This window comes from Homo sapiens, chromosome 17 (genome assembly GCF_000001405.40).
Source record: "Homo sapiens chromosome 17, GRCh38.p14 Primary Assembly".
In the NCBI taxonomy this organism is placed as follows: domain Eukaryota; kingdom Metazoa; phylum Chordata; class Mammalia; order Primates; family Hominidae; genus Homo; species Homo sapiens.
Window position 1 is genome coordinate 67,576,518 of NC_000017.11, and position 15,170 is coordinate 67,591,687.

General features: G+C 44.5%; 1 protein-coding gene across 3 annotated transcripts in view; it reads left to right on the forward strand.

The window, feature by feature from the left end:
• The window catches only part of PITPNC1 (phosphatidylinositol transfer protein cytoplasmic 1), a 319,976-nt gene that overhangs the window by 199,237 nt on the left and 105,569 nt on the right, over positions 1–15,170 (forward strand). For all 3 annotated transcript variants that reach the window (NM_181671.3, NM_012417.4, XM_047435746.1), the window contains exon 5: positions 1,669–1,740. In NM_181671.3, coding sequence (NP_858057.1) covers positions 1,669–1,740 — 72 coding nt within the window. The remainder of the gene's footprint in view (positions 1–1,668; positions 1,741–15,170) is intronic.

Below are 15,170 nucleotides of genomic sequence, written 5' to 3' on the forward strand. Positions count from 1 at the left end.
TTTCCCCAACACCCACAGATCCCAATGCAGGTGCTGGGTCATTTTGCCCATTAGCCGTCAATCCCATCTCTGGTGGCCAAGAAAGTTAATGCCCAGCTTAGGGCTAGCTAGAGCGTGGTTACACCAACATCCATCAAAATTCTCTTCTTAAGCCACCTTAACCCTTCACATCTACTGAATGCATAGGACTTGACTCAGCGAGACTGGGGCTGTAGGGCTGGGTTGCATTTGGGGTTTCTGTCCCTCGTGTGGACAAAGACAAAGACAGGGGCTGCCTTTTCTGGTTCAGTTTCTACCCATGGATGCTGTCTGCTGAATGCATTCTTGCTGCCCAGTATTATACATTTTTAAAACATCATTTTATTAATATTTAACCCTCACAGTGTTGCTCTTAGGTAATAATTATTACTCCTGTTTTAACTCTGTTGGGGTTCAGAGAAGTTAAATGACTTATCCAAATTACATATTAAAAGCCAGGTCTCGCCCGGATGCAGTGGCTCATGGCTGTAATCCCAGCACTTTGGGAGGCCGAGGCGGGAGAATCGCATAAGGCCGGGAATTTGAGACCAGCCTGGGCAACAGAGAGAGACCCTTGCCTTTACCAAAAAAATTTTAAAAATCCGCCAGGCATGGTGTCACACACCTATAGCTGTAGTCCCAGCTACCTGGGAGGCTGAGGTGGGAGGATCGCTTGAGCCCATAGGTCAAGGTTACAGTGAGCTGTGACTGCACCACTGCACCCCAGCCTGGGTGACAAAGTAAGACTCTGTCTCAAAAATAAAAATAAAAAGAAGGCCGGGCGCCTGTAATCTGTAATCCCAGCACTATGGGAGGCCAAGGTGGGCAGATCTTTTGAGCTCAGGAGTTCGAGACCAGCCTGGCTAACATGGAGAAACCCTATCTCTACTAAAAATACAAAAATTAGCCGGGCTACACGGAAGGCTAAGGCATGAGAATCACTTGAACCTGGGAGGTGGAGGTTGCAGTGAGCCGAGACCACACCACTGCACTCCAGCCTGGGCGACAGAGCAAGACCCTGTCTCAAAACAATAAAAAATAATAAAATTTAAAAATTAAAAATAAAATTTAAAATTTAAAATAAATTTAAAAATTTTTTTTATTTTACTTTAAAAATAAATTTATGTTTTAAAAATTAAAAATAAATTTATGTTTTAAAAATTAAAAATAAAAGCCAGGTCTGTCTGACTTCAATAATCTATGACTTTAAAGTTCTACTATATCCCCTTGCTAATGTTATATGAGCATTTATATAAAGATTAAGGCTGGGTCCCCAGGAATCCAGCAATGGTAGCTGCTCCCCAAAAGTAAGCTCACCAGAACTGGAACTGGCGTGATTTAGGGGTTTGCTTTTCTAAAGCTTATGCTAGGAGTCACAGAACATATTCCTTTTGGAAATGTTCTCTTCAGGGACTTGCCCTCTACTGCTGGTTATTCTCTGTGGCCTGACCTCTGTCTGGATGAAACTGTGTTCATTGTCCTAAAGGCGGCTTTCCTTTGTCTGAATTTGGATATTGACTTAGTATCTTAACATTTCTGTTCCGGGACGGTGCTTGCAACCAAATGGCCAGGAAAGTATTCAGAAGCTCTGCTGAATATAGGAAGAGAGAAAAAATGTTATGCTAATGAAAATTTGCTTTTCTCCCACAGTGTTCCTTTCTGCCGAAATTCTCCATTCATATAGAAACCAAGTATGAGGACAACAAAGGAAGCAATGACACCGTGAGTAGCCCCTCCTTCCATGCTGCGCTCGCCTCGTGGGCTCTGAATATCACAGCACTTCTCACAGCCCCTCTGTGACCAGGGCCAGCAGTGGGACCTGTGCCTGGGACCTCAGAGATGTTCTGGCCTTTGGCTTCTGAGGGTTATTTCCCTGGGACTTTTCCCTGGAATTCTTTTGTTGTCTAGCTTTTCTTTCTTCTCATTTTTATGTACTTTCCCTGGGCCTCTGAGCAGAAGCCTCTGACCTGGGGTGATTGTCATGGAGGTGGAGAGGATGACAGGGCACTTGGAACTCCAAGATTTGGTTTTTGATCATTGGACAGAGTACACATCTTCTCAATGCCTATTAATATCTACTTCGGAAAGGGAATACAATCAAAGATATGTGTACACAGAAAAGGAAATACAGTCAGATGTATGTGTGAACAGAAAAGGAAATACAGGCCTGGTGCAGTGGCTCACGCCTGTAATCCCAGCACTCTGGGAGGCTGAGGCAGGCACATCACCTGAGATCAGGAGTTCAAGACCAGCCTGGCCAACATGGCGAAACCCTGTCTCGACTAAAAATACAAAAATTAGCTGGGCGTGGTGGTGCACACCAGTAATCCCAGCTACTTGGGAGGCTGAGGTAGGAGGATTGCTTGAACCTGGGAGGCAGAGGTTACAGTGAGCCGAGGTTGCACCACTGCACTTCAGCCTGGGCCACAGAGCGAGACTCCATCTCAAAAAAATAAAAAAAGAGAAAAGGAAATAGAATCAGATATGTGTGTGCATACTGCATGCATGCTTACTTACACACATGCGGTGTATGTATACACCCACACATCCTACCTTAAAATCAGGGGGTACCCCCACAAAATATTTACCTCCTGAGGCATTCTGACTTTTACTAAATTTCAGCCAAGTATTTTGCTTATTAGTGTTGGGTAAAACCCATCTTCTGACCTGGCTTTTACCCCCAGGCTCTTTCTGTTTGGGCAGTAAATTTCTAACTTCTCTTTTCTTTGGGGGTGACTGTTTTGACCTACCAAAAGCCTCACCTGGGATTAGGCTGTGGGTTCCCTCAGGACCCGTTGAAAGGAAGAACCTGGATCTAGAAGCTTCGGGGCTTCCCCAGAGTTCATGGAACTTCCCAGAGGAGAGAAAAATACAGCTGGCAGCAGTACTATCCTACCACTCTGTTCAGGAACCCCATCGTTAGTGTCTCCTTGAAGTGGCAGCCCAATGGGAAATGTTTAGGGCCATTTTCCTGTCACAGCCTGAAATCACAGGCGCGTTGCTGGCCAAATTCATCAAAACCACCATGCCTAAAACAGTGTCACACTGTGTTTCAACTTGAATCCTTGTAAAATAGTGATTTTTTTTTTTTTTTTTTTTTTTTTTTTCTGATTAGAAAGCAGCCTGGGCGCGGTAGCTCACGCCTGTAATCCTAGCATGTTGGGAGGCCAAGGTGGGCAGATTGTCTGAGCTCAGGGGTTCAAGACCAGCCTGGGTAACATGGCAAAACCCCATCTCTACTAAAAATACAAAAAATTAGCCGGGCGTGGTGGCGCATGCCTGTAATCCCAGCTACTCAGGAGGCTGAGGCAGGAGAATTACTTGAGCCTGGGAGGCAGAGGTTGCAGTGAGCGCAGATCGCGCCACTGCACTCCAGCCTGGCAACAGAGCGAGACTCTGTCTCAAAAAAAAAAAAAGTTAATACATGGCTATTCAAACTTGGAGAATGCAAAAAGAAAGTATTGAAAAAAGAAAGGAAAAACCAATAGCAATCCCACAATTTAGAGATGACTTCTGTTAGCAATTTGGTTCATGTTGCAGATTATGGACAAATTTATTTTTTAACCAATTCCTCCTGAATTGAATCATATAGTATGTTATTTTTAACATGCCCTGAAGTATGCTTCCCTATAATGATTTTTCCTGGCTGTACCACCTTCCATATTTCAGTGTACTTCTTTAAACAATTGCTGGTCACTGGATATTGAAGTAAGCTTGACTCTTTTCACGTAGCTGTGGACTCTCATGAAAAGGATAATAAAGTTCAGTTGCTTGAATTGCTTTTCCTGGCATAATATGAAAATATGGGGGAATTTTTTTTTTCTTTATAAGACAGGGTCTCGCTCTGTCACCCAGGCTGGAGTGCAGTAGCACGATCTCAGGTCACTGCAGCCTCCACCTCCTGGGCTCAAGCAATCCTCCCACCTCAGCCCCCCTACTGGGACTACGGCACACACAACCGTGCCCAGCTAATTTTTGTGTTTTTTTTAGAGACGTGGTTGTACCATGTTGCCTAGGCTGGTCTCAAACTCCTGGACTCAAGCAATCTGCCTGTCTTGGCCTCCCAAAGTGCTGGGATTACAAGCGTGAGCCACCATGCCTGGCTGGAAAAAAATTTTTTAAATATCTTTTAGTCTTTCCAAACAAATTTCCTTGCTTTCTCTCTTTTTCTCTATGCCTCTATCTCCATGAGTTTATTCAAAACAGCTCTCCATTTGAAGAGGTGTAGAGAGGCCAGGTGCTATGGCTCACACCTATAATCCCAGCACTCTGGTAGGCTGTGGTGGACGGATCACCTGATGTCAGGAGTTTGAGACCAGCCTAGGCAGCATGGTGAAACCCCATCTCTGCAAAATTAAAAAATTAGCCAGGCGTGGTGGCACACACACCTGTGGTTGCAGCTACCTGGGAGGCTGCAGTGGGAGAATCGCTTGAGCCCAAGAGGTCAAGCCTGCAGTGAACCATGTTTGCACCTCTACACTCCAGCTTGGGTGACAGAGTGCCACCTAAAAATAAAAAAGAGGTGCAGAGGGGACACGTGGCCTCACTGTGATCCCTATAGATTGGTGGGACCACTGTAATCTGGTTTATCCTCTGCCCAGTTCAAATCATCCCCAAAATTCATATGGTTATTGTGTATTATTATACATCCTTTTTTGGCAGGTGCTCAGGTTTTTTGACTACTCTCCTAGGAATTTAAAATAACAGGTTATCCACCTTACAATCAGGATCCAGGCCCATGCCAAGGGCCAGGCCCCTTTGAGACTTAGGCTGGGCTGCAAGAGAAGCACCTATCACCTATTCACTCTGTGCAGTCCTTGGACACAGTTTGCTTCCTCTAGGAGAAATCTCAGCTGTTGTAGCCTGGCTTGCCTCCCTCTCCCCAGAATGTGGACTCTGGAACTGCCCAGGGGACCTGCTGCTTGTCTGCCTGTCATGGCACCCAACTTGCCCAAGCCCCAGTCCTGCCATCTTGTTACACTAAAGAGGCCCTAAATGTGTTTTTGGCCCAGTTGCCACCCCCTGCCCCCCAGGCTCTGCTTGACCCTGCTCCACGGACCCCAGGTCTTGCTCCTGAGGCCATTGGACCACACGGCCCAGCCCCACTTCATTAGACTTCTTTGCCAATTTGCCCTCCTCTGTTTTACATATTCAGCGGCTGTTGGTTGTCCAGCAGATTCAAAGTTGGTCCCAGAAAGGCAGAAAAGGAGCGTTGCGCCGAGGCACGGTGGCTCACGCCTGTAATCCCAGCACTTTGGGAGGCTGAGGTGGGTGGATACCTGAGGTCAGGAGTTTGAGACCAGCCTGGCCAACATGGCGAAACCTCGTCTCTACTAAAAATAGAAAAATTAGCTGGGCATGGTGGCGTGCACCTGTAATCCCAGCTACTCAGGAGGCTGAGGTTGGAGAATTGCTTGAACCCGGGAGGCAGAGGTTGCCGTGAGCAGAGATTGCGCCACTGCACTCCAGCCTGGGTGACAAGAGTGAAACTCTGTCTCAAAAAAAAAGAAAAGAAAAGAAAAGGAGGGCTGCATCCGTTTCCATTCATACTTGTTAATACTTCAAAATCTGAACATAAGAAGTATATATTTATCTAACAATTCTTTAATTACTAAACGCTAGCTTTATCTAGCCAGGGATTCAAAACTGGTGTTTTAAGCCAAGGAGTGTGCTGGTGTGCTCTTTTTCTGTCCTGGGTTGAGTGTGGAGTTTTTGGTGGGAGGCAGAGTTGCTAAGGAAAGCAGTGCAGTAGTGGATAATTCTCTTGTCTCACCGCGTTTCCAAACTATTTAATAAACTCAGTTCATTTCTTTGCACTTTCTGGGTGTACACTCTTATCATTCAGCTACCATCCTTCATACTGCTATCTGCACTGTTTCCTCCCCTACCTGCCAAAAATTTAATGAAATTGATGACGATAAGAAGCAATAATTAAATTGAAAGAGGCTGCTGATAGTCATATTGATGATAGTGGTTGAATCGAGTACATGTTGTTATCCTATTATCAATTACCATATAAGTAATTTTTTGACGTGACCCAATATCTAGTAAAAAAAAAAAAAATAGTGGCAGTATGAGTAAATATCTTCCTTGTTAAAAATAAAACCAGTATACGTATGATTGTGAAAACCTGCAAACTGTGATTACATTAACCAGGATGCAATGGGGAAGTTGTCTTAAACTGAGGCCCATTTATTTTATGCACATACTTATGAGAATTACTTGGGCCTTCATTCGTGCTAGGGAGGACGGCACCGTGCCAAGGTAAGGTTCCGTTGTTTATCCAAGGCCATAAATCTAGGCCTGTGAGAGTCCGTGCTTAGCACTGCCTGGTTCAGCTGAATGAGAGGCTGCCCATGTGGTGACGGCTGCCAGGTTACTGGTGTTCAATGGGGTTAATGGGGGCAGCCTTGCTACTTTACTTCCTCTTCCAAACAAAGCAGGCACCATTTAAAGCAGTGGTTCCCAGCCTTGGCTGCACATTGGATTCACCTGAGAAGTTTTAACAACTCATGCCTGGGTCCCAGCCCCTGGGATTTTATTTAATGGGTCCTGGGCGCAGGCTGGTCTAAACCAGCCAATAAGCATGAAGGACAGAACACTCACTTCCAGAACACCAAATTCTCCAGCTGGCAGTGTGTGCAGTTTTAGAGTCTACCCTGAGGCTGAACCTGATATGTTCCCTCAGGAGACATTGGCTATGCTGTCCCCACCCCTGAGAGGGTCTAGACCAGCAGTTCTCAATCACAGCTGCCTATTAAAATCACCTGGGCCAGGCGGGGTGGCTCACACCTGTAATCCCAGCACTTTGGGAGGCCGAGGCGGGAGGATGGCTTGAGCTCAGGAGTTTGAGACCAGCCTGTCCAACATGGTGAAACCTCGTCTCTACTAAAAATACAAAAATTAGCTGGGTGTGGTGGTGCATGCCTGTAATCCCAGCTACTAGGGAGGCTGAGGCAGGAGAATTGTTTGAATCTGGGAGGCGGAGGTTGCAGGGAGCCGAGATCACACCACTGCACTCCAGCATGGGCAACAGAGCGAGACTCCTTCTCAAAAAAAAAAAAAAAAATCACCTGGGAAGATTTAGCCATCACTGATGCTGCTGTCCCAGCCCTGGGGATTCTGATTTCATTGGTCTGAGGTGGGGTTGAGGCATTGGGATTCTTTTTTTTTTTTTGAGATGGAGTCTCACTCTGTCACCCAGGCTGGAGTGCAGTGGCGCGATCTCAGCTCACTGCAAGCTCCGGCCTTCCAGGTTCACGCTATTCTCCTGCCTCAGCCTCCAGAGTAGCTGGGAGTACAGGCGCCCGCCACCACGCCTGGCTAATTTTGTGTGTGTGTGTGTGTGTGTGTGTGTGTGTTTGTGTGTGTGTGTGTTTGTGTTTAGTAGAGATGGAGTGTCACTGTGTTAGCCAGGATGGTCTCGATCTCCCGACCTCATGATCCGCCCGCCTCGGCTTCCCAAATTGCTGGGATTACAGGTGTGAGCCACCATGCCCGGCCGGCATTGGGATTTTTACAGTTCCCCCAGGTGAATCTAAGGGGCAACAAGACTGAGAACTATAGATTTAAAGAAATAGTAAGTGCTATTTAAAACCAACACTTAGGAAAACAAATGTTTTCACTCCTTTATACTCCTGGAAAATAGGACAGTTTACAAAAGGCATATGTAAACCCCACTCCATTCCACTCCCACTCACACAATAAAAAGACCTGGGTAACATATGTGTTCTCATTAGCCACATATCACCAAGGACATTATTTCTTGGCAAAGAAACTCCTCTGATAAAATGAAGAGAATGTCCAGTTTAGTTCCTGGAAACATGAAGCTCTGTCTTTCACAGGGGTCTCCTTGGAAGCTGCCTAAAAGAAGTGTCTGGAATGTATTTCATTTCTAGCTCCTCTGTGTGGTAATGAAAGAACACAAAGTTGTTCTTTGTGAAACAGAAAGATCAGTATTGAAGTTCCAGTTATCACCATAAGCCTAAGGCTTGGTTTCTTTATTTAAAAAAAAAATAGGATAAATAATGCTTCCATCAGGGTGTAGAGGATGCATAGAGGTTCATTTACATGGAAGCACTTCATAAACTGTGAAGTGCCATGCAAATAAGAGACATGATTACTGTGATGGCCACACCTCGGGATTAACTGCACTCATGATGATTTCCCAATGAGACTCTGATTTTGTCTCAAGTGTCAATGAACCATTTGCTGTTCAACAAGTTTTGAGCACCTACTATGTCCCAGGCATTAGGAGAAGGATCGGGGATACAGCATTAAGACAAACCAGCCCTCCAGGCCGGTTGCAGTGGCTCACGCCTGTAATCCCAGCACTTTGGGAGGCAGAAGCAGCCAGATCACCTGAGGTCGGGAGTTCGAGATCAGCCTGACCAACATAGAGAAACCCCATCTGTACTAAAAATACAAAAAATTAGCTGGGCATGGTGGCGCATGCCTGTAATTCCAGGTACTCAGCAGGCTGAGGCAGGAGAATCACTTGAACCTGGGAGGCAGAGATTGCAGTGAGCTGAGATCGTGCCATTGCACTCCAGACTGAGCAACAAGAGTGAAACTCCATCTCAGAAAAAAAAAAAAAAAAAACCAGACAAACCAGCCCTCCATTAATCATGGAGTAGGGGAAGCAGATAATAGGCAAGTAAACAAACAAAAGAATTGCAGCTGTGCTAAGTGCTAGGAAAGCTATAAACAGACTAGAGGGAGCTCAGCCTGAGGCCATGTGGTCAGAAAGGCCCCTCAGAAGACACAAGTCCACTTGAGGCTTGAGTATGGGAAGGAGCCAGCCCTATGAGATATATGTTCCCCCACCCCAGGTTCATACGTGGAAGCTTTAGAATGTGACTGTGCATGGAGACAGGACCTTTAAAGAGGGGATTAAGTTAAAATGAGGCCATTAGAGTGGGTCCTAATCCAGTCTGACTGGTGTTCAGATAAGAAGAGAACACTTGGGCACATAAAGAGACTCTAGGCTGGGTGTGGTGGCTCACAGCTGGAATCCCAGCACTTTGGGAGGCTGAGGCGGGCGGATCGCTTAAGCTCAAGAGTTCAAGACCAGCCTGAGCAACGTGGCAAAACCCCATCTGTACATAAGAAATGCAAAAACTAGCCAGATGTGGTGGCACACACCTGTAGTCCCAGCTACTCAGGAGGCTGAGATGGAAGGATCACTTGAACCCAGGAAGCAGAGGTTTCGGTGAGCCAAGATCGTGCCACTGCACTCCAGCCTGGGTGATAGAGAGAGACGCTGTCTCAAAAACAAACAAGCAGACTCTTTGGGTGCAACACGTGAAGACGTAGGGAGAAGGCAGCCATCCGCAAGTCAAGGAGGAGGTCTCTGAAGAAATCAACCCTGCAGGCACATTGATCTTGGACTTTCAGCCTCCAGAGCTGTGAGACAATTAATTAGATTTTGTTGTTTACACCACCCAATCTGTGGTGTTCTGTTATGGCTGACCCCACAAACTAATGCAGGGAGCAAAGGCCCTGGACCCTAACACAGCCTCACATATTCCAGGAACTGTTGGAAAACCACTGGCTAGAGCATTAGGAGTGAGAATAAGTAGACTGGCAGGAACTGAGGTTGAAAATGTAGTAAAAGCTAGATCACGCAAGAGCTATGGGGCCATGGCAGAGTGTGGATTTCAGTGCAGTGGGAACTTATTCAAGGATTTTAAACAAAGGAATAACAAGATACTGTTCGTGGAGTTTTTTAAAATTTTTTATTTGGGGATAATTTTAAATTTATACTAAAGTTGGCTGGGTACAGTGGCTTATTTTCCAGCACTTTGGGAGGCTGAAGCGGGCAGATTACCTGAGGTCAGGAGTTTGAGAAGACCAGCCTGGCCAACATGGTGAAACCCTGTTTCTACTTCAAAAAAAAAAAAAAAAAAAATTAGCTGGGCGTGGTGGTGCATGCCTGTAATCCCTGCTACTCAGGAGGCTGAGGCAGAAGAATCACTTGAACCTGGGAGACAGAGGTTGCAGTGAGCCGAAATTGTGCCACCGCACTCCAGCCGGGGTGACAAGAGCAAAACTCCATCTCAGGAAAAAAAAAAATGTATACTAAACTTGCGAAGATTGTGCACAGGGTTCTCAAATACCCTCTACCCAGTTTCCCCTTACCTAACCATGATTCCACTGCCAAAACTACAGACTTCATTCAGATTTCACCAGTTTTCCCAATAATGTACTTTTGCTTCTGTTCCAGAATCCAGATTAGGACACCCCATTACATTGGTTGATTTATGTTTTAAAATGTTTGCTCTGGCTGTTCTGTGGAGAATTAGTGAAAGGCAAGACTGGAAGCAGGGAGTCCAGTTGGTAGGCTATTGGAATGATCCAGACCAAGATGGTGGTTTGAGCTGGAAAGATGGCAGAGGATAAAGAGGGGAGGAAGGGATCTATTTTGAAAACAGAGTGACTTTCTGTTAGAATTGATGCGGGGCATGAGAGGGGAACAAAATAGGGATGATCTCAGGCTTTCTAGCTCTGCCTAGTGGGCCTGGGTAAGTGGTGGTGCCATTGCCATCATGGGAAACAGTGGAGGAGAAGCAGGTTCTGAGAAGAAAAGCAAGAGCGCCATTTAGTCATGATGACTTTCAGATACCAATGAGACTGCCAAGTGGAAATGAGGGGTAAGAAGTTGGATATTGGCCAGGTGTTGTGGCTCTCACCTGTAATCCCAGTGCTCTGGGAGGTCAAAGCAGGAGGATCGCTTGCACCCAAGAGTTCAAGGCCAGCCTGGGCAACATGTTGAGACCCCCATCTCTACAAAAAAAAAAAAAAATTTAATTAGCTGGACATGGTGGCACACACCTGTCATCCCAGCTACTCAGGAGGCTGAGGTGGGAGGATCGCTTGAGCCCAGGCAGTCAAGGCTGCAGTGAACCATGATCAAGCCACCATACTCCAGCCTGGGCAACAGAGCGAGACTCTGTCTCAAAAGAAGAAGAAGAAGAAGTTGCATATGCATATGAATCTGGCATTCAGAGAGGGATGTGGGTCATGATTTTTATCTAGGGAGAGGAGTGACAGAAAAGAGAAGTTTCTAGATGCTCCGAGATAGAGATTGCCCAGGTCCTAAGAAGGACCTTCTGATGGCTTCCAGGTCCAGCTTCTCGTTGTTATCTTTATTCCTTGGTTAAGACTAATTTTCAATCACTGGGCTGTGCTTGGTTTTAGGAAATAAACGATCTCATTAATTTAACCACAAAGATTTACTTAGAGAGATCTAATTTCTCCCCCTGGGTGCCTCCTTCGGGTAAATTGCATAAACATCTCAATGTCTTGACTGGGCTCAACTTGCATGGCTTTGGAGAGAAATGTTCTCTTCCTGACTACAAGTAGCTTCCCCTGGAAGTTACCAGCTGACAAAGAGGGAATTTTAGCATTTCAGGAGAGCTGTATTTATTGAGGCTTGCTATGACAATAGCCATCGTGAAGTTTGTTTTCTTTCTTTTTTATTTTTTGAAACGGAGTCTCACTTTGTCACCCAGGCTGGAGTGCAGTGGCGTGATCTCACCTCACTACAATCTCTACCTCTCAGGTTCAAACGATTCTATTGCCTCAGCCTCCAGAGTAGCTGGGACTACAGGTGCGCGCCACCACACCCAGCTAATGTTTATATTTTTAGTAGAGACGGGATTTCACCATGTTGGCCACGCTGATCTTGAACTCCTGACCTCAAGTGATCTGCCCACCTCGGCCTCCCAAAGTGCTGGGATTACAGGCGTGAGCCACCGTGCCCAGCCGTGAAGTCTGTTTTCTAATTAGCACAGTAGTCCCTGCTTCTCCGAGGTTTCACTTTCTGCAGTTTTAGTTCCCTGCAGTCAAATGCAGTCCAAAAATATTAAATGGAAAATTCCAGAAAAGAATAATTCCTAAGTTTTAAATTGCATGCTGTTTTGAGGAGCAACATGAAATCTCATACCGTCCTGCCCCACCCCACCCAGGGCACGAAGCCTCCCTTTGTCCGTCAACTCTGCTCTGTATATGCTACACGCCTGTTAGTTACTTAGTAGCTGTCTCGGTTATCACATCAAAAGAAAAAAAATAGAGCGTGTATAGAGTTTGGTACTATCTGAGGTCTCACACATCCAGTGGGAGTCTCAGAATATATCCCCCTCGGCCAAGGTCGGGGACAACTGCATTTGTATTTGTAACTCCAAGAGGACAACATAGATGGATGGATGTTAACACATTTCAAAATGTACTAAAATTAATTTGTAAAGCAGGAGTGCCAGTGGGAACTGCAGAATCCATATTTACAGGTCTCTGGAGCTGATTATCTCTTCCTTAAATGGCTTCTAATTGAGGATTACAGAAAGAAAAAAAGCATTTGCTTTATTTTTAGACGTGATCTCTGATGTCTTCAACTTTTATCGTTCTGTTTTTAACCTTAGATTATTATAACCAGCCACCTACAAAATCTGCAATTTTCTCTAATAAGTCAGCACCTGTTAAAAAGGAGGTTGCACAAAACACTCCCATTTGCAGTTTGGAAGGATTATTATCTGCTTTGGTCTGTGAAGTGGAAAGTCAATGTTCTTATTCAATCTGTGTCTAATGGTGTCATTTTGAGGACAATGGAAAACAGATCATGTTTGATTCCTTAAGATGTGGCCACTGCTATTTGTGGTACAATTTGTGATCTGAGAGCTGCATGTAAAAAACACATGAGCAAAAAGAATATCCAGCACACAAGGGCTGGCTTTCTGATTCTCAGAGGTATAGTGACAACACAGCTTACCTCTGCATTCAAAGAAGCTAGAACTTACCGCGGATAATCATTAGTAGAAGACAGCTTAAAGTAGTGTCTGCTTTCTGGCTAGGCCTGATTCACAGGTGCTGTGATAAATTCAAAAAGACCTGCCTCCTCTGATGTGCTAGTATCAAGGGTGAGGGAGACAGTTAACCAAACTGGTCAAAAGCATTGTCAGCAAAGACCTGGTGCTGAATCATGTTGGGAAACTGGAGTTTGGAGCTAGAGAGGCAATACCAAGTATCAAGGTCTGAATGTCCACTTTGTAACCACTGTAGTAATAATTGACTCAAAAAAAAAAAAAAAAGCCATCAATGGATGCTAAGACCGTTGAGCAAAACAAGTATTGGGTACAGGATATATCACCACCAATGCTGGGTGTGTTAGCTCACACCTATAATCTCAGTACTTTGGGAAGCCAAAGTAGGTGGATCATCTGAGTTCAGGAGTTCGAGACCAGCCTGGCCAACATGGTGAAACCCCATCTCTACTAAAAATATAAAAAATAGCCAGACGTCATGGCACATGCCTGTAATCCCAGCTACTCGGGAGGCTGAAGCAGGAGAATCTCTTGAACCCAGGAGGTGGAGGTTGCAGTGAGCTGAGATCATACCACTGCACTCCAGCCTGGGTGACAGAGTGAGACTCTGTCTCAAAAGGAAAGGAAAGGAAAGGAAGAACAGGAAAAAAAAGACATGCAGAGAGGACAAACCAGAAAATAATGAGATTGGCTACCTACAGTGGGGGTGTGTGGAAACGGGGTAGAGATGGTGAGAGAAGCACTACCTCTGGGAGTATACCTTTTTGAATCATTCAACTTTTGAAATCATGTTAATGTTTTCCCCACTCAAAAATAATGAAACCAAATCAACAGGGATTAGGCAGGGGGTTGGTGGGGTGGAAGATACTAAAATAGAATTAAAACGAAATAAATGAACCTAACTGTATTTTAAAAGAAATAAAATAGCCACACTGAAAAGGAGAGAAAAAGACCTTTCCCAAGGAATTCTCAATTACACAGCACTCTGACTATGTATCCTCAGTCGGAAGACAATAAGAATTGTAAACAAATACTGAATTCTAAGTAATAAGTTTGTTTCTTACTGTAGTATGGGCTAATACTACTGAAACTATTTTTTGTGTAATTTAAGTTTGAGCAAATACACAACCCTAGGGCCTACCTGTAGAAGAAAATCACCATTTGCAACTATCATAATAGTAATTGATTTAGTAGTAAACATCATTGAATGCTAAAACTAGTATGTGAAAAGTTTGATGAGGAACAGGATATTTACATGGACTAAGAGTATTTCTCTGCAAGTGACTTACTAATGGAAAATGGAAATAGAAATAATTTTACAATAGACAGCCAGGCACAGTGGCTCACACCTGTAATCCCAGCACTTTAGCAGGCCGAGGTGGGTGGATCACCTGAGGTCAGGAGTTGGAGACCACGGTGAAACCCCATCTCTACTAAAAATACAAAAAGATTAGCCGGGCGTGGTGGTGGGCACCTGTAATCCCAGCTACTGGGGAGGCTGAGGCAGGAGAATCACTTGAACCTGGGAGATGGAGGTTGCACTGAGCCAAGAATGTGCCATTGCACTCCAGCCTGGGCAACAAGAGCGAAACTCTGTCTCAAAAAAAAAAAAAGAAAGAAAGAAAGAAAGAATTTTACAATAGACATACCTGGTGTATACCACCTTAACCAAATGTCTGTAACGTTATCAATCCTGGAACAAACTAGCATCAGAAATGATATGATGTGCTGAAAAAGACGCATCACCTCTTTAGTGTTCTTGTCAAAAACAAACAAACAAACAAACAAACAAAAAACCCATAAGCTAAATCTAATCATAAGGAAACTTTACACAAACTCAGATTGATGGGATTCTATAAAATAGCTGGCCTGTACTCTCCAAAATTGTTGAGGTCATGAAAGACAAAGAAAGGCTGATGAATTATTTTAGATTAAAGAAGACTAAAGAGATGAGACTACTAAATGCAGTATGATCCTGGACTGGAACCTAAACTGGAGAAAAAGAGCCCAAAGGATATTACTGGGTAATCGGCAAAATTTAAGTAGGGACTGAGGATTAGATAATAGTATTATATCAATGTTAAACTTCCTAATTTTGATCGTTGTTTTGTAATCAGGTGAGAGACTGTCTTTATTCTTAGGAAATTCACCCTGAAATATCTAGAGGTCAAGGGACATATCTGCAATGTTTTCTCAAATGTGAAAGACAAAGCAAAAGAAGCAAATGTTAACGGCTGGAGAATCTGGGTAAAGGGTGTTCAGGGATTTTCTGATATTTCTTGATTTTTTTTATATTCTTGCAATTTTTTGACATGTTTGACATTATATTAAGAT